Here is a 26329-nt window from a genome sequence, read left to right as displayed (position 1 = left end):
ATTTTTGGTTTATCATTTATTCGTTGTATTCTTTTGTTCTGGAAGTTCTCCATTATCAGTATCTCAAGAGGCAAGGTAGTAAAATTTCCAGAATTTAAATGCACTATTCATCTTCAATTAGAATCTTTGGTATATATACATATATATACACACACGCACACACTTTTGGCAAATATATGAAATTATAAACATGTATAAAATTTCAAATGCATAGTTGAAAATACAATGTTAATTACTTGTCTTGTATTTGCCTAAGAAGCAATTGTGTAATTTAGCAGTTGTTCCTTATAGATGCTGTTTAAGTTGTCTGTTTACTCTGTTGATAGTTATTTTGCTGTGCAGAAGCTCTTTCATTAAATTAGATTCCCATTTGTCAATGTTTGCTTTTGTTGCACTTGCTTTTGTGGTCTTGAAATCTTTGCCAGTTCCTATGTCGAGAATGGATGCTTAGGCTGTATTCCAGGGTTTTATAGTTTGGGGTTTTACATTTAAATCTTTAACCCACCTTGTGTTGATTTTTGTATACGGTGTAAGGAAGCAGTCCAGCTTCAATCTTCTGCATATAGCCAGTTATCCCAGCACCATTTATTGACTAGGGAGTTCTTTCCCCATTGCTTCTTTTTCTCAGCTTTGTCAAGGACCAGATGATTGTATGTGTGTGGCCTTACTTCTGGGCTCTCTATTCGGTCCCACTGGTCTATGTGCCTGTTTTTATACCAGTACCATGTTGTTTTGGTTACTGGATCCTTGTACTATAGTTTGAATTAGAGCAGTGTGATGCCTCCTGCTTTGTTCTTTTTAAGATTTGCCTTGGCTATTCAGGCTTTCTTTTGGTTCCATATGAATTTTAAAATAGCCTTTTTCTCGTTCTGTGAAGAATGTAATCGGTAGTTTGATAGGAATAGAATTGAATCTGTAAATTGCTTTGGGTAACACGGTCATTTTAATGATATTGATTCTTCCTATCCATGAGCTTGGAATGTTTTTCCATTTGTTTGTGTCACCTAGGTTACAGAGTTATTGACAGAACCTAGACTGTATATCAGGTCCCCTTTTTTCTAATCATATTCATTCCACTGAATATACAGTACCAAATATTTGTGCACGTGTTAATTTGATAACGGAATTAATCTTTCCTTCAAAAGCAGAAAGGAGTAAAGGACATGAAGGATTAATTCATGTAACCAGCTTAAGGCCATTTACTTTTTCACAAAAATGATTATATCTCTTTACAGCCATTTTTACATTTGCTTAAAGTAAAAACGTAGATCCAAGGACAAAAAAGCAGAATACAAATGAAGCGTTATCATTTGATCCATAGTAATTTTTCAAAACTTCAAATTATTGCTTCCAGAACCCTCATATTTGCCTAAAACTATCTTCATTAGATATATTTATACTTGTTATATATCAGCACAGGCTGAAGTCTGATAGGACATTCAGCATTCCAGATGTACAGAAGTTTCGTTACTAACTTCAAGATAAAATCCTTTAAAACAAATTGCATTGATTAAAAAACATAGTCATTATGCTTCCTGTGGAATTTTTTTAATAAAAGATGGCATATTGCCTTGTGGTTACTAGCAATAAATCACCTTAAAATATTACAATGAAATGGCTTGGTCTCATGTAATACAGCCATTGTAAAGAAAATTATAAAAATATTCTTAAAATTTGCAATGAAACACTCTTGTGATGAAGTAAAACAAAATTGTGCTGCCATGTCTACACAAGAAAAAAATGTAATATTAAAAATGTTTTACTTCCGTGATGATTTGGAGTTATAAAGATGCCAAGTATACTATTATTCCTTCCTGTTGAGAGTTAGTTTGCTTCATCTTCAATATATTCAATATTCCTCCACACCTTGAGGAGGAATGTTTATTTGTGCTTATGCCTATGTGACAATAAGCCTGATTATAAGTTTGCAATGACACATTATCAATCTACTTTTTCTAACATCTCAAAAAGTAGTCTGTACATTTAAATATGAAAAAAGGAAAATGTTGACTATATATTTATTATTGCTGGTGCTATTGTAAGATGTGAAACTATTCATCTCTGGGGAAACTTTGGATGGTTAATTTGAGAATGCTAAAATAATTTGAAACAAATAAAATAATCAGTTTTAAACTGCATGAAGTTCTAATTCCAATGAGCCACAATGTTCTTAACTTGGCTATCTTTGATTCCTACCATGGAATAGAAAAAGCCACATAGTGTGAGAGATGAAAACACACCTGCCTACAATTTCCTTAAGCATCTATATTCAGAAAACATCATGCATACTAAAAACATAGACTTCCCTTCATTTTATGCCCATTACACTCAAGGCACAAAGCCTCATAAAACATACTGGGAGAAGGAGATTGCAATGAAAATGAATGGTGATAATTAAAAAAGATGCAAGAACAAATAATCAGTCAATATTTTTTCACTCTTTGGAATTAAACTAGGATATATAAGTAAGCAATGAGATAAAAAAAAGAAATAAAACTTACACATAATCAGCAGTTACCTAATTAAAGTTCCTATCATAGAATATATCCACATTGAATAGCTAAGCAAATATGTTTCCCAAAACTATGAGAACTTTAACAACAGGACGTTTCTTTTCTATGACTCAATTGCATACACAACAAACAAATTCTTCTGGATATAGGCAAAAGTGGTCAAATAAAACAGTCCAGCACCCCACATTCAATGGAAAACTTATCTGCATCTTTTTTGTCTACTTCCTGTGACTTTCTTGGCTTCCTTTGTTCACCTTTCCCAGTCTGATAATTGTTTGCAAAAGTTGACACATCAACACTAGCAATGATCCAGAAGAATTCTTAATCTGCTTGAGTTAATAGGAATCACAATGACTTCACCTGCAGAGATGTTTGCTGACTTGATTAGTTGACAGCGCAGCTGGTACTCTGCTTTGCGAATGCCCTATCTGCCCTGTTATTCTTCTGATCAGTTTCCTAGAAATGAAGAGCTTGCCTATAGTTGAACACCTAAAATAAAAATGGCATTTATATTCACCTAGATGACATGGGTGACGTATAAATGGAGTGCATTGTTTTTCAAATAAAAATTATCAGAAAAAGGCCGGGCACGGTGGCTCACGCCTGTAATCCCAGCACTTTGGGAGGCCGAGGCGGGCGGATCACGAGGTCAGGAGATCGAAACCATCCTGGCTAACAAGGTGAAACACTATCTCTACTAAAAATACAAAAAAAAATTAGCCGGGCGTGGTGGCCAGTGCCTGTAGTCCCAGCTACTCGAGAGGCTGAGGCAGGAGAATGGCGGGAACCCAGGAGGTGGAGCTTGCAGTGAGCCGAGATCACGCCACTGCACTCCAGCCTGGGCAACAGAACGAGACTCCGTTTCAAAATAAATAAATAAATAAATAAATAAAAATAAGATGTGTGGATTTTTGTGCGCATGTACACATTTGTGTGTGTGGACAGATATACAGAAAGAAGAGAAAGTCTCTTTATTGAAGAATCAAGCAAATATGTACTGACCTTCGAAACTTTCTATAATGCTTTTCTGCACTTTACTATGAGAATTATCTCAAAGTCTCTATAATACAAACTCCAGTATGGTAAAATTTTATGTATCTTAAAATATAATACAATGTGTCTGAGGCTTTAGGACAGATTGTCATGAGTTATTTTAATGCCTCAGTTTATCATGGCCAATTGCTGCTCTGCTCTCCTTCATCTTTACCTGGGTCAGCTGCTAAGCACATTTGTTAGAACTTTGCTACCCAAAGTGTAGCCCCCACACCAACAGTATTCACATACCCTGGGGACTTGTTAGAAATGAAAACTCTCTGGTCCCTATACCCAACTGCTGAGTTTGCATTTTAACAAAATTTCTAGGTGGTCTGTATGCATTTGAAACTGAAAAGTGCTGTGTGAGAATATGATTATCTTATAATTTTTTTTTTTTTTTTGACATGGAGTCTGGCTCTGTCACCCAGGCTGGAGTGCAGTGGCGCTATCTCAGCTCACTGCAAGCTCCGCCTCTCGGGTTCACGCCATTCTCCTGCCTCAGCCTCCCGAGCAGCTGGGACCACAGGTGCCTGCCACTAGGCCCGGCTAATTTTTTATATTTTTAGTAGAGACGGGGTTTCACCTGTGTTAGCCAGGATGATCTCAATCTCCTGACCTCGGGATCCGCCCGCCTCAGCCTCCCAAAGTGCTGGGATTATAGGCGTGAGCCACCACGCCCGGCTAAAATATTTTTAAATGCTGTAAATATATGTATATATGCAGACAAATACATGCACTTTCATTTAATACAACAATGCTACAAAGCAACTGCTTTTATTATTCTCATTTTAAGGATGCACAAAGCTGAGGCACAGGAAGCCTAAATGTCTTGTCAAATGTCATACTACTAGGAAGGAGCAGACTTGATATTCTCTTCTAGGCAATCTGGTCCCACTCCAATAGAATGCTTCTCTTCATAACGAGTTATTTAGTCTTATATACTTTAATAACCACTAAAATGTGTTTTGTAGATAAGAGACTAAGAAAGAAACAGAATATAAGAGAATTAAACATATCTGCATCTCTTACGGGTATTAAAATTCTCTGATTTCAAAAAAAATCTTTTTGGGAGTAGACAAAGAAATTCATGGTCTTTTGAAAACAAGGTCTCTGAAGGTCAACTTTTTTTTTTCTTTCTGCAAAAAATAGTATTGCTAAAGCAGCTCTGAAAGTTCAGTTTCAAGCATATGATAAATTTCCCTTGTGCAGTGAAATTCCAATTCTCTGCCCTGAAAGCAGTATGTTTTTACCCTGTATTGAGTACTAACACATAGACAGATTCACTTCAGACTGTTGGGCATTATGGGATCTTTCTAGATGAAAGGTTTTTTTACTTAGCCACAGTTCATATCCTTTGAAACCCTGAGGGGATATTTGCCAAAGTTACATGGGTATTGAATTGGGCTCACTTTGTTTAAGATCTTTCGCCATGATATTTGGATTTCAGATATTATATTTCATAAGTTAAGCTGTTTTGCAAAAATGTAATGGCTAGTTATTTCAGAAGGGAAGACTTAATAGTTCAATACTATGGCACTTTGAATTGAAATTTCAATATTTGGATTTAATTTGGGTCAAATCCTAAAACTCCAGTTTTCTACTTGAATAAAAACATATTTGTGTGAAATTTTTCAATGTATCCTGTTCTTCTGTCCAGTATAATTCATAATCAACTGGGGGAAGAGAAATTAGAAAACATTATTACTGCAAAGTTTGCAATGGATTTAAGCTAGTAAAAGTAGCTTTTATAGAAGATTATCTGAACGAAGAAAACAAACACAAACAGCTGAATCAAATACATGATTTATCCAACAACTGAGAATGCCTTTGGTGCATTCATATATCAAAAATATCTCTAATGAGTACTCTGTCCTTGTAACTACAGTCTGAATGAGGCAAAGATCCCTGAATTCCTTGTTAATATTTAACTTAGTCTTTAAAAATCAGATTAATTAGCTACATTCTTTAAAAGAATGTAGAAGACATGTATGTACCTCTGTAAAGTTGACTCCTCTCAGGTTGCAGTGAGCTGAGATCGCGCCACTGCACTCCAGCCTGGGTGACAGTGAGATTCCGTTCCCCCACCCCCCAAAAAAAAAATTGACTCCTTCTTCAAATCAAATTTAAGAGGCATTTCTGCAATATGAGGACACACACTTTCCAAAGAGACAGAATACAGTTAAATGGAACAATCAGTTAGAAAAAATTGTCAGGTTCAGTTTTAGATTAAGTTACATGCATAAATCTAAGGAAATCACAGTCTAAACTCAGCCCTGGAAAACAACATCATTAAAATAAAAATTATAGTGAGCCAAGTGAACCTTGCAATGCACTATTGATAAGCCAAGGAGTAGGAGTAGAATCTTCTAAAAGTTAATTAAAACTCACTGTTTTTTTTACATGCTTCAATAATATTGTCCTATAAAACTAATGCTATTTTCAAGATGATCAAGTATTCTTCTCAAAATATTTTTATTTTTGCATGACTTTCTTAATCCAGAGCATCAATTTCTATGATGTCATCTATTAGTATAAATAAAAGCTAACAGACTTTATATGTAAGACAAACTTCATATAACTTAATGGATTGAGCAGAGTACAACTCCTTTTCATCTCTAGGATAAACAACTAGAGATGAAAAGGAGTTGTACTCTGCTCAATCCATTAGAACTAGAACTAGAGATAAAAGCAGGAAAGCAGGATAACTTTTTTTTTTTTTTTTTTTTTGAGACAGAGTCCCTCTGTCACCCACCCAGGCTGGAGTGCAATGGTGCCATCTCGGCTCACTGCAATCTCCCCCTCTCAGGTTCAAGCGATTCTCCCACTTCAGCCTCCCAAGTAGCTGGGATTACAGGCACCCACCATCATGCCCAGCTAATTTTTGTGTTTTTGTAGAAATGGGGTTTCACCATGTTGGCCAGGCTGGGCTTGAACTACTGATCTCAGGTGATCCACCCATCTCGGCCTCCCAAAGTGATGGGATTACAGGCATGAGCCACCGTGCCCGGCCAAAAGCAGGATAACTTTTATAGGACATTTATATAACTATAAAAGTTATCCTGCTTTCATCTCAAGTTCTAATCATTATCCAAAAAGGACTATTATAATAGGGTTTACCCAAAACATTTTGACTATATGGCACACTATTAACTCAGTCGATTGAGTCTATGAATATCAATTCCTTGTTAACTGAGACTTCATTCTTCTGGAAAGTAGAAGTAGCATAGAGTTACACAGGAATTTCATATAGAGGAAGAGCTGAGTTTACAGCAGAATGCATAAAAGATATATTCACATATTCTGCGTTTCTCCTCCTGGAGATTCTGTTTATGCACTTTTCATCATATTCAAAGGAAATTTACCTTCTAAAATTCATTTTTTAATTCCAAGTTGTTCTGGAAGTAATCATACACACACGTACACACAATTTAACTACATTAGATAAGCATAGTGAAAAGTGGCTAGTTTTCCTGACATAGAGATCATTATCATTCAGCATGTTTACAGTTTTTTCTGCAGTACTTTCACTGGTTAGCACAAACAGTAATTTTAGAAATCGGCAGTCTGTATTGCTCCAAATGCTCTTTCAGGGCATTTTTAAAACAGGAACCTTTTTAAAAAAATAAAGGGCCTCATCACATATAAAAAAGTTCTCCATTTGGATATATTGTAACAGTCCCCTTGAGTGATGATAATGCTAAATTTTATACTACTTTTCTCTCATGAGTTGTTTCATTTAAATTTCAAAAGTAGCTGCTTACCAACATTAGTGACTCTTATTTTAGAACACGATAAACGATACACTTCAAATCTTAATTTAGAACATTAAGTTGTTGCTTAAAAGGGCCAAATCTCAGTTATCTCATTTGCATAATGAGGGAGCTGGACTAAATAGCACCCAAGGTCCCTGAGAGCTCTAGAATTTAAAGACAATGTAAAAGGCAACACCTGCACATGTAAATTCTGGGATTTTAATAGTTACAAAATTATGACCCTAGAAGGGGCACTAGAGATTCGTATAATCCCTTCATTATATAAATTAAGAAAAAGAGACAGTGAAGTTAAAAGACCTATCCAAGTTCACAGAGCTAGTTAATTGTAGTAAACGGACTAGAGTTCTGTAATACGTAAGATGATTGCCTAAAACAAATTATCTACAATGGTCTGTGCTGAAAAGGTTTCATGAATAGTGATTACACAAAGAATTACCGCAATAAAAATTTGTATTCAATGTTCAAATATTTTTATCGTATAATTAGATACCCCAAAATAATATTTAAAATTACCAGCCTTTCAGGTCTATACAAATTGCAAGAGAAGAATTTTCTAAGAAAAAACTAAACTTTTAATGGCTTATTTCATATACACTATTCAGAAAAAGTTTGTTTAGATAACATACAAACATTTCCAATATAAGATTGATTAATGCCAGATAAAGACCATGTACCTAGTGGAACTGGGAAAACAATTTCTAAGATTATTGATTAAGAGAGAGAAAAAATTGGCTAAGCGAACACTGTTATCTCTATTCTATTCTCTATTGGGCATCTTCAATATTCAATAAAATGTAAATTAAAAAATCATAGAAATCATGGTAAGACAGATGGTCTATAGTTATTCATTTTTTAATGAATTCCTTGATATATTCACCAGTTGTTGAATGTTCTGTTGATGAAAGCAATCATGAGAGTTGCAAGTTATTGTCCAATTTTAAAAGTGTCATGGGGATTAAAAATATGTTGCTATAATACTCCTCATTCATTAAAATTTATAAATCATTTTAAAATAAGAAGTTGATGTGTGGCTAACACTACTAAATATTCCAAGTCACCCAAATGCTACATCTTGAATGACTGATTATACTGACTTTCAAAGAACTACAAAAAATAACAAATGGCAAATAGTCTGTCTTATAGGCAAAGGAAAGTGAGAAGTAAGATTTTTTAAAAAGCAGAAGAAAGAATGTTGTCATAAAATGAATCGCCTCATGGCTCATAAATTATAGAAACACAAATGTTAAATGACCTTTATTATTTGGTGTAGGAAGCTTAATAAAATTTAGAAGCAAGAGAAGGTTTATTGTGAAGAGAAGGCCACCTATTCTCTGCCACTTTAGGTGATTATTCAAGCTTATTGACATTCCAGACCTATGGCATTGGCTTTCAACTGGCAGCTTGTGCCAGTCTCCTAGTGCTTGTCACTTTCAAACAGAAAAGACAAGATAAGAGATTGCTTTACTTATAGTGGCCTGCTTTTGAGTGATCAACCTCTATCTAATCCATATTATATTTAAGATATTAAAGATACACTCATCTTAGAGACTGTCACCCAAATAAAATCCTGTAAATGTCTTCAAGTCTCCAACTTTAAAGATATACTTCTCATTTTAATTCATGACCTCTATAATTGTTTAAAGATTATCTCTAGCATAAAGCTTTTGTTGCCTTCCCAAAGCCTATATACTCCAAATTAGCAGTCATTTTTCAATTGGTCTACATTGAGATTGCATCTCTTATATAGGGAAGTTGAATATGATAGGATGGTATCGTAAGACGTGTTTTACCCATTTTTCTTATTATAATGTATTTATAAACTTTCAGAAGCTTCAATAGAGAAAGATTTACTTTTGAAAAGCATGTCAGTTTAAATGGTAAAATTAATATACATCACAGAGCATCTGCTACCAGATCACTGTTTATACCTGCCTAAGCACATTTATTATAAAAACTACTGTCACTACCAAGTATACCTTATTCTCTCTAAAACAATGGCAGATGGCTGAACTCTTGGGTGGAACCATTCTTTATAACCTATTTATATATAGATACTTTTCTAACACTATTTACATAACACATCACGGACTAAAATAAACTGGTAATAATCATTGACAGTATCAATTATTACAATGATATTTCATTTGAAAAAGAATAAAAGTGACTTTGATATTATTGTTACCTTAAAAATATTAATAAATATTAAGGAAATTTTTAAATTTTCAGTAGCAGCATAAAGCTATATATTGTTTTCTCTTGGCAAGGCAATGAAATAGAGCAGGCATATGTCCTATATTTCCAGAACCCGGGGCCATGGAGTTCAACCTCTTTCTTGAAATAGACCATAACTGATATCATTGATAATGATAACATCACTCCTTAGAAATACTGATTGATTCATTTTTCAAAACACATGACATTAAGCTTGCTGAGCTGATTTAAATTATTTTACTCCCCCCTTTCTACCATGGACTGACACTATTATATAGGCTACTGAGCACAGTTTTAAGAAATAATCTTACAAATACATAGCCTACAGAGTCAGAATTGGCCTTGCTATGTAATTAACCTTTAAAGGGAGCATAATTTCTTTTTGTTAAGTGGAATATATTTCCCATTTGTTTCATGTAAAAATATTAACAAAATGATGCATTCACTTTTCTTTTTATTGTAATACATGAATTGATATGTGACTTTCGTCAAAAATGCATTTTAAAGAAATATTAGAAAGCCTATGGAGTCAAATTTTCCTGGGCATATAGCAGCAAACAAAAACACTTAATTAACAGTTATACGGGTAATATTAGCTGAACTGTGGACTCAGATGATTTTCTGCCACATCAGAAGTGTTACTCTTCTCTTAAATATACTAACCAATACTACTCCTTTTTTCTATAATTGAATCATATTTTCTCCTTGAATTTTTTAGATAAATAATTAGATCACTGCTTTCCCCAAGGTACTAGTATATCAATATTTTCCAGGGAAAAATATTTCCATGGCTTTATTTTGCTTTTAGACAACTGACTCCTAATGTTTTTAATTATGAAAGGCTGAGTTTTAATGACCCATTACTAGCTTATTCTTTTAACGTTTCACAGTTTTTGGTTTTGATTTTTTAATTTTACCAGTAGTCTATGTTTAGAATTAGATATTCAAATAATGAGATGTTCAAACACTTACTAGTAATTACCCTAGTGTTATTCATGTCAATACTCTTAGCAGATCAGGAGAAAATCTGGCATTTCTCTGAGTAGAAATTCATTCTAGTCAATCAAATTGGTCTCCCACTTTTTATACCAATTTATTGGATTACTGGTAGAAGATCAATCAAAGTGCCTTGCCAGGGAAAGATTAATTACTTCCTTGTTGTGAATTAATTAGTAGTGTATTTGAGTGCTAAGCAAACCTGATCTACTGAAATAAAAATGAATGTCAAACAGATTTGCTAACATGAGATAAACTCTAGCAGACATCATTTTAATAAAAACATATATTGATCTTTATTTTAAACATATAATTTTTTAGCCCTAAATGTTCTTGAAACTCTATATTTTCTTCTTTTGTATCACAGAAATGACTATGTTATACAAAAAGAGGAAAAGCATTAACTTTTTTGGGGGAAGATGAAGAAATTTCACTCAAGTATTTTGTTACTTTAAGATTCAATGCTGGACACTAGACCAGCTATAACATTTTCAGATAGAGTGACTTCATGCGTGAAATGATCACATACAATGAAGAGGTTTTAAAAAATACAGATGACATAACTTGTTCAGTTGAAGAAAATTAAAATACTGATATAAACTAAATCATTCTCCTCTTCATTTTAGGGGGATTTTTCTCTGCAATTGTACTGATTTATGACTAGAAAGCTGAAGACTGATTTGAGCCTCTTTAGCAATACTCTATTTCACCATTTATCTTCCAAAGAATTATGGCTATTTTATTTCTTCCAATGAAGCTGGAAAATTATAATATGCCAGCAGATCAGTAGAAATGTAAAAATATTAGTAGTTACCCTTTTAGATCCAACTTACCTGTAGTGAAATAGCAGCAATGCATTCTCTATTTGAGGACAAAACATAAAAACCCTGGCTTCATAAACATAGAGTATTAAAAAATCTCAGAAGTTTAATGTGTAGACATTTGCTAATATTTCTGTATGTCTCAGCACTCAGTCTGAATTATAAAAACAGAAAAAAAATTTAGAAAACAAATTGGAAAGCATTTTTAAATCATATCCTCAAAAATCATATTTTACCTGAGACTACTTAAAAATAAGTAGATAGGAGCATAGGGCCATACATAGTTTAATGTGTTTACAGTAGTCCCAAGAGGATCTCACTATCCTCAAATCTCTGAGTTAACACTATACCTGGATATGTAAAATCCTCAAAAGTAGACTCACAACTTGTTCTTTACCAGGGCCACATGTGTCTCCATGAATGTGTCTCAAGAAAATCCTTTGAAAATGCAGACATTATCTGTTCCAGTATCCACAGTAACCCAGCAGCAATCAATAGTGCTGTTTTTGAATTGGGTTTCTATTTTGTTTTTGCTTTTTAACAAATTAACTAGCTTCAAAGAGCAGGGTTCATTGTAAATAATCTGATGAGGCTATGGTAGGAGGAAAGGTCTAGAATATAAGCTGTCATCCAAGGAAGACAGAACTGTATAGAATGGCATTAAGTGACCCTTAGTCCAATGGCCACAGTAAAGAGATTGCAATTATAAAATTTAAAAATTACAAAGTCTTCAGATGGAATGAGACAGGATATTTTATTGACTTTGTCTCCTCAAAAAGTAATAATTGGCTTGAGTTTGTTTTCTTTATTTTAAAAAGAAAAGTTAATAGTCTTGGCAAAAGACTTAAGAGAATGAATTGTGTGATTTCTTCACCTAAGCAGCAGATTTTTATCAACCAGGGAACTATATTTTTAAAGCAGTATTAATAAATCCCTCTAGCAAATTTTACAGAATACCCTTATTCATAAATGTCATGTTTATTCCTGTTTTGTGAATTTACAAAGGATTTGCAGAACTATGTGCTATTTTGGCAATTCACTAGCAAGAAAGAAAGCAGATTGAAGATGTAATACATTTCAAAATGTGAAATGGGAACTGCATAAATTAATTCCATTGCTTAAGGACAGCATTTATTTCCTCTAACACTTTACATTCCTATCAGTGGTGCTATTGACAAACAATGCACAGTTTATTGGCATCTGCTCCATATCATAAAACCCATTATCGGGTGCTATTTCAGAGCTATAGCTTTGCTTTTTGAAGAATCAAAATACCTTATCATCAGTATTAGCCTAAAGAGATTACTTTGCTATGGCCAATTCTAAACCAGCTATGTTTTTTCTTTTTAATTAAAACAACACACACACACTCACACACACACACACACACACGTACTATGTTAAACATTTCACTACCGTGACACATTAAGACAATGGAGCTTCATTTCAAGTAAATTATTGTGCTTCTTGCACTTTTAGTAAGGTCTCTGACTGTCCCAAAACAAAACTCCTAACAAAAATTTTCTTGGAACATGATTTAGGGGGAGGTTTCACATTTAGTAGGAGAGCAGTTTGTTAGTATTATTCATAGTAAAAAAATAACATTTAAACATTCGCTTAACAATATTGTTAGACTTGTAGAAAATGGGCATTCATTTTTAATTATATCTACCCTTTGCATAAGTTTATTAAAATAATAAGCAGCAAAATATACAATTTGTTTTACTATTATCATTGCCCACAGACATCTAGATTTTAAAATAAAATCGATTGAGCAACTAAAGTTTTTAATGCAAATTTTGTGAGTCCTTCATCCTGTAGAGTAAATATGAACAAGATATTTAATGTTCAAGATAATAGTGTAAATATAATTAGAAGAGAGAAATGTTTAGCTCCTAACAGAAAGCACCCTTTTTTAAAAAAAGCCCCTAAGTATGTCAGCTAATACATTGATGCTAGCACTTATATCCTTAACTATAAACAAGACCAGCTTCTGTTAAGAACTATGCATTTGAATACTTTTTAAAACAACTACTTATTTCTAAATATAATTGGGATTAATAAAGCTATATTTAATGTTAAATGTTTTACTATTTCTGACACATACCAATTCTCCTACTATTATCAACAGTATTCCATTTGAGTCTCATTCAGTTGGAATTTTATTTCAGGGTGAGATGTGCACTGTGGATGCTTACTCTGAGTTTACTCTTTAATTGTTGCTATGCAATCCTCTATGAAAGAGGCTTAGTAACACATCATGTACAAATGAATCAACTCTTTCTAGTTTATAAAAATGATACTTATCCCATTTCTATATTCTTATTTAACAGGGCATGATAGACCTACAACTAAAACAATGATTTATGGAGGAAAGAAGATCAGTGGCACCCTTGCTTAATGTGTATTTGTTACTTATGATCATATTCTTATTAGAGATTAACTCTTAGTTCATTACACAAGTAAATATAATCACAACTATGTATTTCTACCAGGAGTCATTTTGCTGTGCTAAACAAAGTAAATTAAAGATAGTTTAGTGACACAAGGTATAGGGGAATTTTTTATCTTCAGAACAAATGTTGATCATTTATTCCAAGTATAAAATTGAAAATGGAGATAGTAGATTTTTAGGACTGTCTGAACTTGCTGACTCAAAAGTCTCTAATATTTTTACATTAAAAATACCTATAATATATAGCATCTACATCTGTAGAGAGAAAAAGTTGATGTTATGTTGTCATTGGTTCCATATGTTTAGCCTTAGATTATATCATAATGTTTAGCCAATCCATTTCCCTATTTTTTGAAGTTTCAAAAATAGAGGATTAAAATACAATGATAGGGAAGCTATTTTGTTCTAAAGCCTAGAAGCTTTATTTGAATTATACATCCCTGCAATCCATAATGCTCAAAATAACCTTTCAAAATGTCTAGTTTATATTACCTTATTTATGTTTTTGCCAGGTATTTGGCCCATTTTTTTTCATATTGGTTTATGGCTATGACTTTTTTCTCACATATATTGTATGCTTTTTTGTATCTACATACTTTTATGTACATAACATAAATGGAGCAAATTGTAGCTTCTTGCAATTTCAAGACTCTTCCGAGAAATATATATCTTATCAAATTTTGTATTTCCTGAAATTATAAATCAGCAAGGTTGTTCGCTACACGTTCAAGATAATACATTTAATGAAATTTTATTTAATATCAACTCTATGATCCTTTTAAAGAGTTCAACATCTTTGGAATTTGCAAAACACAGATTTTGTGCCTTCTGTCTGAAGACCAAATGTGAATACCTTTCTAAACAGTAACATGGCACAGGTGTGTGATTTCAGTATATTGCTGAAAACCTCAGATGCCCTCTCCTACATTGGAGTCAGGATCTCTTATTTCCTCAGAAAGAAAATAACTGTCAATGGTTTTTATCTCTAATAAAAATAAAAATAAAATCTAGGAAATATTTTTATATATAAGAAAAAATTTATACCTTCACAAATAAATGAATAAAATAAAATAAATTGGCTGTTTATATACAAATAAATTACAGGTGTACATAAATGGAAAATTCTATCTATGCCTTAACAAAGTCACTATAATAAATTTCATTCAGCGTAGTTATGATCATACATTTAAAATATTATAAACTGCCTTATACTTGCCATCCATCTAATTCTGTATGTTTACCTTTCAAAAATGTGTCACTATTCACAATAACATAATAAATTAGCCCATGTTATTATGGCTATGATAGCTTGAGTTGCAAACACAGTAAGCCCGTTTATATTGAGGAACCAGAGAGGTATCACTTACTAGATTCAGGATCGGAGTTGCCATCCCCTTCAGTGCGATTGCTGGGTGTAGCACGATCAAAGTACTCCTCCTGAGGATAGCCAAGGGGCAGGCCATGGGATGTGCTGGTAAGGCTGCCTGCATCATGGTCTCCCAGTCCACCATCACTGCTGCTTTCCTGAGAGCCTTCTGGCAGGTGAAATGTGACACGCCGCTGGGACTGAAAGGGAGAATGAAAATTACAGGGTTTCAGATATGATCTGAATCATTGCTTAATGCTGCAATTTAGAAAATGCATTATTTCGGCTATCTGGTGAAGACACATTAACATTATCTTGAGTTGTGAACAATTTCAGGCTTTTGTGAATAACACAATTCTGTGTTCAAACCTTCTTCACCTGAAGGCAGTGTTGCTTCCATTATATTTCAAAACAAGGCACAGCCAGATGCAGAATGAAAGTCAACTTGTTCTAAAGCAAGAGACAGTCAGCTTTATAGCACATTTGAGCAAACTGGAAATTCCAACCATAATTTTAACATGTATTTATTTAGGTATTATTTGGCAATAACTTATTTTTTGAGTAATAAATGTGGATAAATATAACCATACTTTTTTGCTGTATCTGTAAGTTGCTAGTGAGCTGAAACTGTGAATAATAACACAAATTTATTCAATCATGTAGGCTTAGAAAACTAAAAGTACATCATCCTTTAGAAGAATCTTAGAGACAAAATTTTGAATTGGAATTTATTTAAATTGATTTTACTTTCTAAGAAAAAAGTAATTACATAATATGGATAACAGTTAATGGTAATTATGAAAACAAATTATAGTTATCATCATAAATGGTATTCCTAGCAGAATATAAAAATATATATACAAATAAAAAGATAAAGATGAAGCATTTGGTTTCCGAAAGAAGAAGTTTGTAACATCTTCACCAGATCTTGTAGCAGCATTTTTGTTTGCAGCATTGCTATGCTATATGTAGTAGTCTCCAAAAATAGGCTCCCCAATGGACATCACCTCTTGATATTCAGACTTTCAAGTAGCCTGAGACCACATTGAATCTGCACAGACTCTGTAATCAAACCCTGTAGCTTCTGCTTTGCACCCTTGGAAAACTCACCATGGAAAATTACAGCTGCATTGAAAGTAGTTTGAGTACTGGGAGCATGCCATACTGTGGGGAAGCTCAAGCTAGCTTCGTGGAAAGACTGTATAAAAAGAGACTACAATGCCGAGAGAGGCCCAGCTGTTCCAGCCACTCAAGTTCAGGTGCCGGATATGTACATGAAGAATCCATTATGAACATTCCAGCTAGTGGCCTTATTGGAGTCATCCTAACTATCTTCAGACATTTGAGCACCCCCTACTTAAGGCAGCAGTCATTGTGGAGTAGAAATAGCTATATCTGCTGTACACTACCTAAATTCCTGACCTAAAAATTAAGAAGGACTATTGATTTTTATGTCCCCAAAGATTACTGATGGTTTGCTATGTAACAATAGATCAACCAAAGCACTAAACTACTGGCAGCATGAAAGCTTCAAATTAGGTATAATTTATTTAAGAGATTTGCATATATCAAAGATGAGAAGAATTTACATCCTAGGCATTTTCATAACAGAATGCATATATTTTCACAAATTCAGGTCTAACAGTCAGCCATTTCTTCAGATGGAGCTATGAAAAGATTTGAATATCATACTTCAAACTTATTGGAAGATATATGAAAATATAATAGATGCATAAAATATTTAAGTAGCTCACTTGAATCTTCTTTAGTTTTTAGCCATTATTTTTTATATTAAAGTCTCAATAAAATAGGAGAAAATGACTAATGCATGTAATATGTAATATATATTATGGAATATGTTTCTGAACATAAAATTACTTCTTCTAATGAGAAATAGTCTGCTGATTTTCTACATGTGAGTGTAACAGCCAGACAGGATTCCTTTGGGCCTCTCAGAGGGAGTAGTGGGTGGTGTTGGTTAAGGTAACTCTTAGCAGAATTAGTATGAGCAGAAAATAAACTGAATAAAAGAAAAGCTTGCTGGAACTAAGTAATATTGAGGAGTTCAGAAGGCAGGGGTTTTTGTTGTTGTTTGTTTTGTTTTGTTTTGTTTTAGACAGGGTCTCATTCTGTCATCTAGGTTGGAATGCAATGGCACAATCTTGGCTCACTGCAACCTCTACCTCCCAGGCTCAAGCGACCCTCCCAAGTAACTAGAACCATAGGTGCGCACCACCACACCAAGCTAATTTTTTGTATTTTTGGTAGAGATGGGGTTTCACCATGTTGCCCAGGCTGGTCTCGACCCTTGAGCTCAAGAAATCCACCCACCTAGGCTTCCAAAAGTGCTAGGATTACAGGCATGAGCCACCTCACCCAGCCTTGGTTTTAGTTTTTTGGGGGATGAGTGTTAGGTTGTGTGGAAGCTGTGAAGAGTGAGATTGACTGTATTATCTGATTAAACCACACTGTATTTTCTAAGATTTAAAGCATTTATCAGGGAAATAATGTAACTGAAATACCTTTTTGTATGCTTTTGCCTAGTCAATATCCCTTTTTCTGTTTGTCTTTGTATCTAGAACCCACAGTGAAAAGAGGAAAATAAAAGCTTCAGGTCGTCTTCTGATCACCTCTACACAGACATAATCCGAATGTTAACCTGAATTACAGGGCATTAAAATACATGGATTACCTAGCCTGTCAGTCATCTATCATTTATTAGTACTAAAGATATTTAGTAGGGAGCTACTGAAATAATCATCAATACTGTATTCTTCAAAAGCAGAGTTTCATAAAAGTTTATAAAAAGTTTAGCTGCTTCAACTCTAAAGTCTCAGAGTACTAAATAAGCCTTTGTGAAACCGCCTTTGCAAAATTATGACTGAGACAGTGAAAGGTATCTAACCTAGCCAACTCTGTCTTGCTTCTTAACCTCCAAGCTGTCCTTGTCCATTCCTGGGAATAGGCTGAACTAACTTTGGGAGAAACTTAGTTTATAGTTTAAAACAAATACACTAACAGCCCTTTCCCAAAGCTGACCTCTTTCTTGCCTGGGGACTAGATTGCCTTTGTAAGATTAACATTAGCCACAAGATTAGTAATTATGGTTTAGGAGTCATGCAGCTGGAGGCTACAAGATTCTGACCCTCCCTAAACTGCTCCTAAGATCAGTGCTTGAGATATTTTGCAGATCCTGCACTTGATGGACCAGCTGGCACCACCCAGATCGATAAACTGGCTCATCTGATCTTGTGGCCCCCACCCAGGAACTAACTCAGCCCAAGAAGACAGCTTTGAATCTCTACGATTTCACCACTGACCAATCAGCACTCCTGGCTCACTGGCTTCCCCTCACCCACCAAGTTGTCCTTAAAAACTCTCTCCCCAAATGCTCAGGGAGACTTATTTGAGTAATAATAAAACTCTGGACTCCTACACAGCCAACTCTGCGTGAATTACTCCTTCTCTACTGAAATCCCCCTGTCTTGATAAATTGGCTCTCTCTAGGCAGCGGGCAAGGTGAACCCACTGGGTGGTTACATTTGCATTCTTGTAAATAAACTAACTAAAACATTGTCAATAGCTTGTTGGATCTATGTAGAAATTCATAATATATAAAAAATTTACAACATTTAAAGAAACTATCATCAGAGTGAGCAGGCAACCTACAGAATGGGAGAAAATATTTGCAATCTATCCATCTGACAAAGGACTAATACCCAGAATCTACAAAGAACTTAAACAAATTTACAAGAAAAAAACAAACAACCCCATTAAAAAGTGGGCAAAGGATATGAAGAGACATTTCTCAAAAGAAGACATTTATGCAGCCAGCAAACATGAAAAGAAGCTCATCATCAATGGTCATTAGAGAAATGCAAATCAAAACCACAATGAGGTATCATCTCACACCAATTAGAATGGCGATCATTAAAATGTCAGGAAACAACAGATGCTGGAGAGGATGTGGAGAAATAGGAACACTTTTACACTGTTGGTGGGAGTGTAAATTAGTTCAACCATTGTGGAAGACAGTGTGGCGATTCCTCAAGGGTCTAGAACCAGAAATACCATTTGACCCAGCCATCCCATTACTGGGTATATACCCAAAGGATTATAAATCATTCTACTATAAAGACTCATGCACATGTATGTTTATTGCGGCACTGTTCACAATAGCAAAGACTTGGAACCAACCCAAATGTCCAACAATGATAGACTGGATTAAGAAAATGTAGCACATACACTCCATGGAATACTATGCAGCCATAAAAGAGGATGAGTTCATTTCCTTTGCAGGGACATGGATGAAGCTGGAAACCATCATTCTCAGCAAACTAACACAGGAACAGAAAACCAAACACTGCATGTTGTCACTCTTAAGTGGGAGTTGAACAATAAGAACATATGGACACAGGGAGGGAAACATCACACACTGGGGCCTGTTGGAGGGTGTGGGGCTAGGGGAGAGATAGCATTAGGAGAAATACCTAATGTAGGTGATGGGTTGATGGATGCTGCAAACCACCATGGCATGTGTATACTTATGTAAAAAACCTGCACGTTCTGCACATGTATCCCAAAACTTAAGTATAATTAAAAAAAAAAAACCACAACATTTATCTACAGTTTTAAGGATGATAAACTAATCATCCTCTAGGACCCCTCTTATAACCATTAAACTGAAGGTTCAGCAAACTTTTTCTGTAAAGAATGAGATAGTAAATATTTTAGGCTTTGTGGGCCATATGATACAGTCTCTTTCTCAACTACTTAACCCTAATGTTGAAGTGTAAAAACAGCCATAGACAATATGAAACTGAATGGGCCTGCCTGTGTTCCAATAAAACTGTACTTATGGACATTAAAATTTAAAATTTAGGTACTTTTATGTATTATTAAATATAATGTTTTGCTTGAACTTCTTCATCATTTGGCTCTAAAGGCCATTGTTTGAAGACCTCTGATCTGGAAGGCTAATTTTTCAATATGGAAAAGCTGGTTAAAGATAATTATTGTGCAGTATAAAAGGGCTACTACATTAATATTCATGTCATAATTTGTTCATGACAAATTTCTGTCTGTAGCCCTGCAGAGAAGTTGTGACACAGAAATTAAAACAAATCTATTGACTGGAATAGTGACTTTATGGGATGGAAATAAATCCTGGCGTTTTCATGAATAAATATTTGCCCTGAAAAGCTACTTATTTTCTGCCAGTAGCAGAGAGAAACAGCACAGGATACCTCTCCCTAAAATCTACACACCTCATTTTTAGCTCAAATGAATCAAAATTCCAGGACACAACAATACCCAGAAATTATATTGGTGTCATTCACATAAATCATTTACAGACTAAATATCAAATCCCCAGCATTCTTGTGTCCATTAAACCTCATGAAGGCATCATTTCATAGTAATTATCAGGTAAATATTTTTACATTTCATAACATGATGTAAGTGGCATTTCGGACAGGTTAATCTGGCACCAAAGAGGCTGCATGCAGATAGGTGACCCTGTGATTCTAATTATAGAATACTTGAGTATCATGTTAGAGAAGGCTCATTAGAATTACTTATACAACCTTGCACATGCCATGAGTTCAAACCTAATACACTCTAACCCAATCTTCCTTTAGATTCACTGTCATCACCAGTAACTCTGATTAGAAAGAGTAATCATATGTAGGGTCATTACTTTCTAAGGATTACCATATGCAAGTTTGTTTTTGATTTACGTAAAAAACATTTTGAATTTCAAACTATTAAGAATACTTTAGGATTCCAAGTTCCCACATTTTATAATAGTAAACAACCTCATTCTGAATGTCAGAGGATTTCTGCATTTTTTTTCCCATAGGTACTGTCTCTTAGCCAAATGATTTATAATTACTCAGTATATCATAAAGTAAAATGTGCAAATAGCCTGGTTAGAAACTAAAGATTTTCATGTGCATTATATGGCCAGCATGCACATCCCATGTGAAGATCATAATTCCCAGTGTAAATCTCACAGATGACATGTCAGGCCTTTTTATTTTGTAGCAGGTCTTTACTACTTGGCCCTGAAATTTGTAGTCATAAAACTTTCTACTTTACCAACTCAAGTCATTTTGCAGGATGGATCAGTTGACCTGTTGGCCTAATTGTGTTTTCACTGCTTCATTTCTTTTCTTTTCTTTCTTTTTTGTTTTTTTTTTTTCTTTTTTCGAGATGGAGTCTTGCTCTGTCGCCCAGGCTGGAGTGCAGTGGTGCAGTCTCAGCCTACTGCAACCTCTGCCTCCTGGGTTCAAGCAATTCTTCTGCCTCAGCCTCCTGAGTAGTTGGGACTACAGGCGCCTGCCACCACGCCTGGCTAATTTTTGTATTTTTAGTAGAGACGGGGTTTCACCATATTGGCCAGGCTGGTCTCGAACTCCTAACCTTGTGATCCACTCGCTTCAGCCTCCCAAAGTGCTGAGATTACAGGCGTGAGCCACTGCTCCCGGCCTCACTGCTCCATTTCATAAAATTTGAATAGTCTCATTTCTCATGTTTCTGGGGGTTTTACCCTTCATGGCTATTTTTTTTTAAGTACCATAATACATCACTAGCCTGTGCTGGAGGCTTTTTATGAAGCTACATTGTATGAGAATCAGGTGACCTCCTAGCTCTGACTATTCTGCCATTACATTTTTCATGATATAAGTTTTGTGTGTGTGTGTGTGTGTGTGTGTGTCTGTGTGTGTGTGACACAGTCAGACATATTTTTTGCTGATTAGAAGACTACATGGCATTATAAGCAGGCAACTTTCCTTCATTCCTTGAATCATAATTCATTTCAGCTCAATCAGAATGGAAATAATCTATTTGTAGATACGCAAGATGAAGCTTCTTCTTTCAGTAATGTTATTGTTTATAAATTGTTAAATTGGCTATTACTGCAGTTGTGTGAACTTTGCAAATGAAATAGCAATATTGTGAATGTTTGAGAAACTACAATTCTTTGACTAACATTTAAAATATGACAGAATTGAAACTTAATACGCTTTGAAACTGGCATGTGTCAAAAAAGCCATTAAGTAATACTAAAACCAAATATTAAAACTGAAATAGACAATGGTTTCAATGAAAAGCCTAATTATCAGTCAAAAAAAGAATAGTAGAAATATCTACATTGTTTTTGGTACTAACCACATCCATATTTAGTGACTTACATTTAAACTTATGAATTACCAAAGCACCTTGACTATCTAATAGTTATCTGATAGCCTCAGCTATCCTAAAAGAACCTCATATCAGGAAGTAAGTGGGGGAATAAAGGCATGTAAATTCCTAAAGTATTTATCACAAAGTTTGTTTTCAGAATCATATCTACCATACTCTGCTTTTATTTTTAATTTTAACAAACTTGGATATCTGTTTCTCCAGCTCACAGTGTGTATTAGGAGGGTTGGTAGCTGCTAGAAATGAAAACATTGACAGAAGGAGAAGTTCCCACCAATTTTCTTTAGATATGCCTTTAGCTACATAAAATATGTGTGATTGTTCTTCTACGTGACAAGCCCTCCTGTGTTTGAAGATAGTTAAGACTCATGTATAAGTCTTCCTATTCCAGGCTATAATTCCCATCCTAATTTGTTATGGTTTTCAGAACTTTTATGATGCTATTAACCCTTTTCATTTTTGTCCCTGTAGTCTACTAGCATAATTAACAAGATCAAACCTAAACTACTTACTCCATTGTCAGTGATGAAATAGACTTGGGAGATGATGGAACCATGGATCACATATGATCCAAATAATCATTTTATTTTTAAGAATATTAGTCAATAGTTAAGTTTTTCTAGTTGTTATTTGAAAATATGTTTCCATAAAATAAGCCACAAGTTTGGTTTGAACACTGCTTCATCTCTGGTGTCACTCCTTTATATTTTCAAAATAATTCTCCCTTTGCCATAGTTACACAACATGTCTGTTTAATTAATACATTTTAAACAAGCCAAATGTCATTCAAGCAACAGATGGTTTCTGACTTGGATTAGATGTTGGAATAATTTTGTAGCATACAATGAAAGAGGAAAAACCTGGCATTGTCATTAATGGCATAAACGCTTGGATCAAAATATTTCTTGTTTAATGTTAGTAAAAAATGCAACAAAAAGTTATGATGGTGAATAAATATCAGTTTTTAAATAATAATTATTAGAATGTATTCCTAATAAAATTGGAGAATGCACACATCGGCCAGTATGCTAGTAATTTCGTTAGTGTGTTGAGTTTATGGATAGTGGTAACATATTTGTTTAGACCCATTCTGGTGTATATGAAACATGTTTGTTTCATCTTTTTTACCTGGTGTTCATTAGCACATGGAAAATAATTGCTGCTTTGTAATATGTGTCACTTCCTGGAAATTAATATGAGATGAATAGACCAATGTTTCCTTTGAACTTTTCTTACATTTAAAAAACATTGAAGTTCTATAATCATCATAGATAATCAAATAATAAATTAAAATAGTTGCATCTTCCAGTAATAATATTCACCAGTGTGGAAGATAGTAGCAAGCAACGTTGTGGTAAATATAGTTGTGGGTGGAGTTGTGGGGAGGAATTGTAATCAACTAATATCTGTAGTGTTGCTGTAGTCTTTTACTTGTGGATCTCTCTACAGAGGTGTATTTCTTCTAAAAGCAGACTCCCCTCTACTTATTTTCCATACAAACAAAAATATCTCTATATACTGTCTACCACACCCACATACTCCACACGCACATACACACATACACACACACGGTATTAAAAATAACCTCAAAGTGACTGACAAGTTAAAGAATTAAAAAAAAAAAGATCATTATGCTATGGTCCCAGGAGTAAATTGATATGGCACTGTCCTTTTCATTTTTCTTAAAAAGGTATAAAAATATACTTCTTAATTATTTCTAAATTGAGGATGGGAATACAAACTAGTAGAAAGATATAGTCTCCAACTCTAAAACCCATAAATCAATCTTATATATTTACCCCCAATATATTATTTGGACCTTTTGTAACACTACTTTTGTTGCCTTTCATAACATTTGGGAATTAGATAAGGGATTGAAAATTTGGATAAAATTGATAGCTAGCTACAGCAACCAGTAGCTATCAAGTGGTTTTCAAAACATCAGCTACGTAGAAATCACCTAGTTAATTTGTTAATCATGCATATGTCACAAGATCTTTGGGGTATTGCTTCACCAGACAGAATCCTCTGTGGCCGATGGTGCCTTTGCTCGAGTTTTGCTCGGGCCCACTGGGCTTATTCCACCCACTCGGCTTGGCAGGCTGCACTCAGGTCTCACTACCAGCCCGGAACCCATGCCTGCCAAAGGCAAGTCAAATGCAGGGAGGAGAGGGGTGTGTGAGTGAGCAAGCACAAGTTCCGGCCACTGCGCATAACCAGGTACACTGGCTGTGGTGAGGTGGGCAGCTGCAGGTGCCAGCGTGGGCACTGGATCCCTGCAAGGCTGCAGCTGAACCAACTGTACTGCAAGTGAATTGGGCACCAGGGAACATGGTGGCACCTGGAATCTTGGAGATGCCAGGACCCACAGAGCCCCAAAAAGGGTGTCACAGCCCTGGCTCAGGGAGCTCCTAGGTCCAGGCTCCCCAAAGGGCACAGCTCTTCTCTTATGCTCTCTTCTATCCTCATCACCCCCAACGTGGCAAGTTGGGGTGGGGGGGTGGTGTTTCAGCCCTGTTTGTGTTACAGCTCTTTCAGCCCTGCCATTTGGTGGGTCCTGAGTCCTGTGTCCAGGAAGAATGAGGTATGCAGACAATTGGAGTGTGAGCAAAGTGAAGAGATGCTTTGTTGAGTGAAAGCGCACCTCTCAGAAGACACGGAGTGGGTAGCTCCTAACAGCAGTTAGATCATCTGTCGTTTGTCCAATTCTCACTGAGTCCTGGAGTTTTTATGGGCTTGAGACGGGAGAAAGTCCATGCTGATTGGTCCATGGACAGCCATAGGCAGGCCAGAAAAAGCACGCATTCTCACTCTGGTCTGAGGAACTGGCCAACGGGCCCCCAGGCTTCAGGCCTTCTCTGACCGGAAGGTGGGACTTCACCAGGGACATGCCCTTTTCTGAGCAGAAGCCTCTATGCCTCCTGACGCTATCAATCATGTCATCCATGGCACCCACTATCAATCATGACATCTATGGCACCCAGGCTGTTCATGCCAAAGGACACCTTCAGGCCCATGCCCAGCTGCCCTCAGCACCCCCTCTGCTTCCCTCCCTTGTTTGTGGGTGGTCAAAGTCTGGAGGGGGCTGAGGCAGCCATGGGCATGTCAGGACCGCCAAAAGCTCACACACATCCCACCAGGTTGCCACAGTGCCCAGGCTTGGCCTCAACTTTGCTCCAAAATTGGAGTGGGCAGCTGGAGAGCTGAGAGGCCAAGCAGCAGGTGCAGGCTCTTTCAAGCCTGCTGGGGCAGGAGGGCTTCCTGGATCCCCAAGAGCACAGGATACCTGGGGCAGCAGTCCCAGCTGGGCCCCTGCAACTGCACCTGGGAAGGCGAGGCTGTCACCCCTCCAATTCAGAAGGAGGAGGGGCTCCCACCTGTTCCTGGTTCCCACAGGCTCCATGGAGCATGCAACCCTGGTCAAGCCTCCCCCACTGCAGCTGGTGTCATGGCAGTGGCCACTCCAGACAGCCGCCACTGCCATCACAAATTCCTGGGTTTCAAAATTCAAATATTCTGTTCTGTTTTAGTAGGTCCGAAGTAAGATTCAGATTATTTAAGCCACATGGTCTAACATAGAGTGAATGTTTGTGTCACCCTAAAATTCATATGTTAAAACATAATCACTAATGTGATGGCATCTGGAAGTTGGCCTTTGGTAAGTGCTTAGGTCATGAGGGCAGATCCCTTATAAATCAGATTAGTGCCCTTATATAAGTGACTTCAAAGATCTCTTACCCTTTCTTCCCTGTGAGTACACGGTGAAAAGATGCCTCCTTGTCTATGAACCAGGAAGTGAGCCTTCACCAGACACTGAATTTGCCAACAATTTGATCTAGGACTTCTTAGCCTCCAGAACTCTGAGAAATAAATTTATGTTGTTTATAAGCCACCTAGTTAATAGCATTTTGTTCTAGCAGCCTGAGCAGATTAAGACATGGTTCTTTGATAAT

The 26329-nt window shown here is 35.6% G+C and overlaps 1 protein-coding gene across 5 annotated transcripts in view; it reads right to left on the bottom strand.

The window, feature by feature from the left end:
- Positions 1-26329, bottom strand: part of PCDH11Y (protocadherin 11 Y-linked) — a 741933-nt gene that overhangs the window by 225802 nt on the left and 489802 nt on the right. For all 5 annotated transcript variants that reach the window (XM_017030079.2, XM_017030081.2, XM_017030080.2 and 2 more), the window contains one exon: positions 15172-15370. In XM_017030079.2, coding sequence (XP_016885568.1) covers positions 15172-15370 — 199 coding nt within the window. The remainder of the gene's footprint in view (positions 1-15171; positions 15371-26329) is intronic.

Source organism: Homo sapiens, chromosome Y (assembly GCF_000001405.40).
Source record: "Homo sapiens chromosome Y, GRCh38.p14 Primary Assembly".
In the NCBI taxonomy this organism is placed as follows: Eukaryota; Metazoa; Chordata; class Mammalia; order Primates; family Hominidae; genus Homo; species Homo sapiens.
Note: the sequence above shows the minus strand (reverse complement) of the source record. Positions and strands in the feature narration are given on the sequence as shown.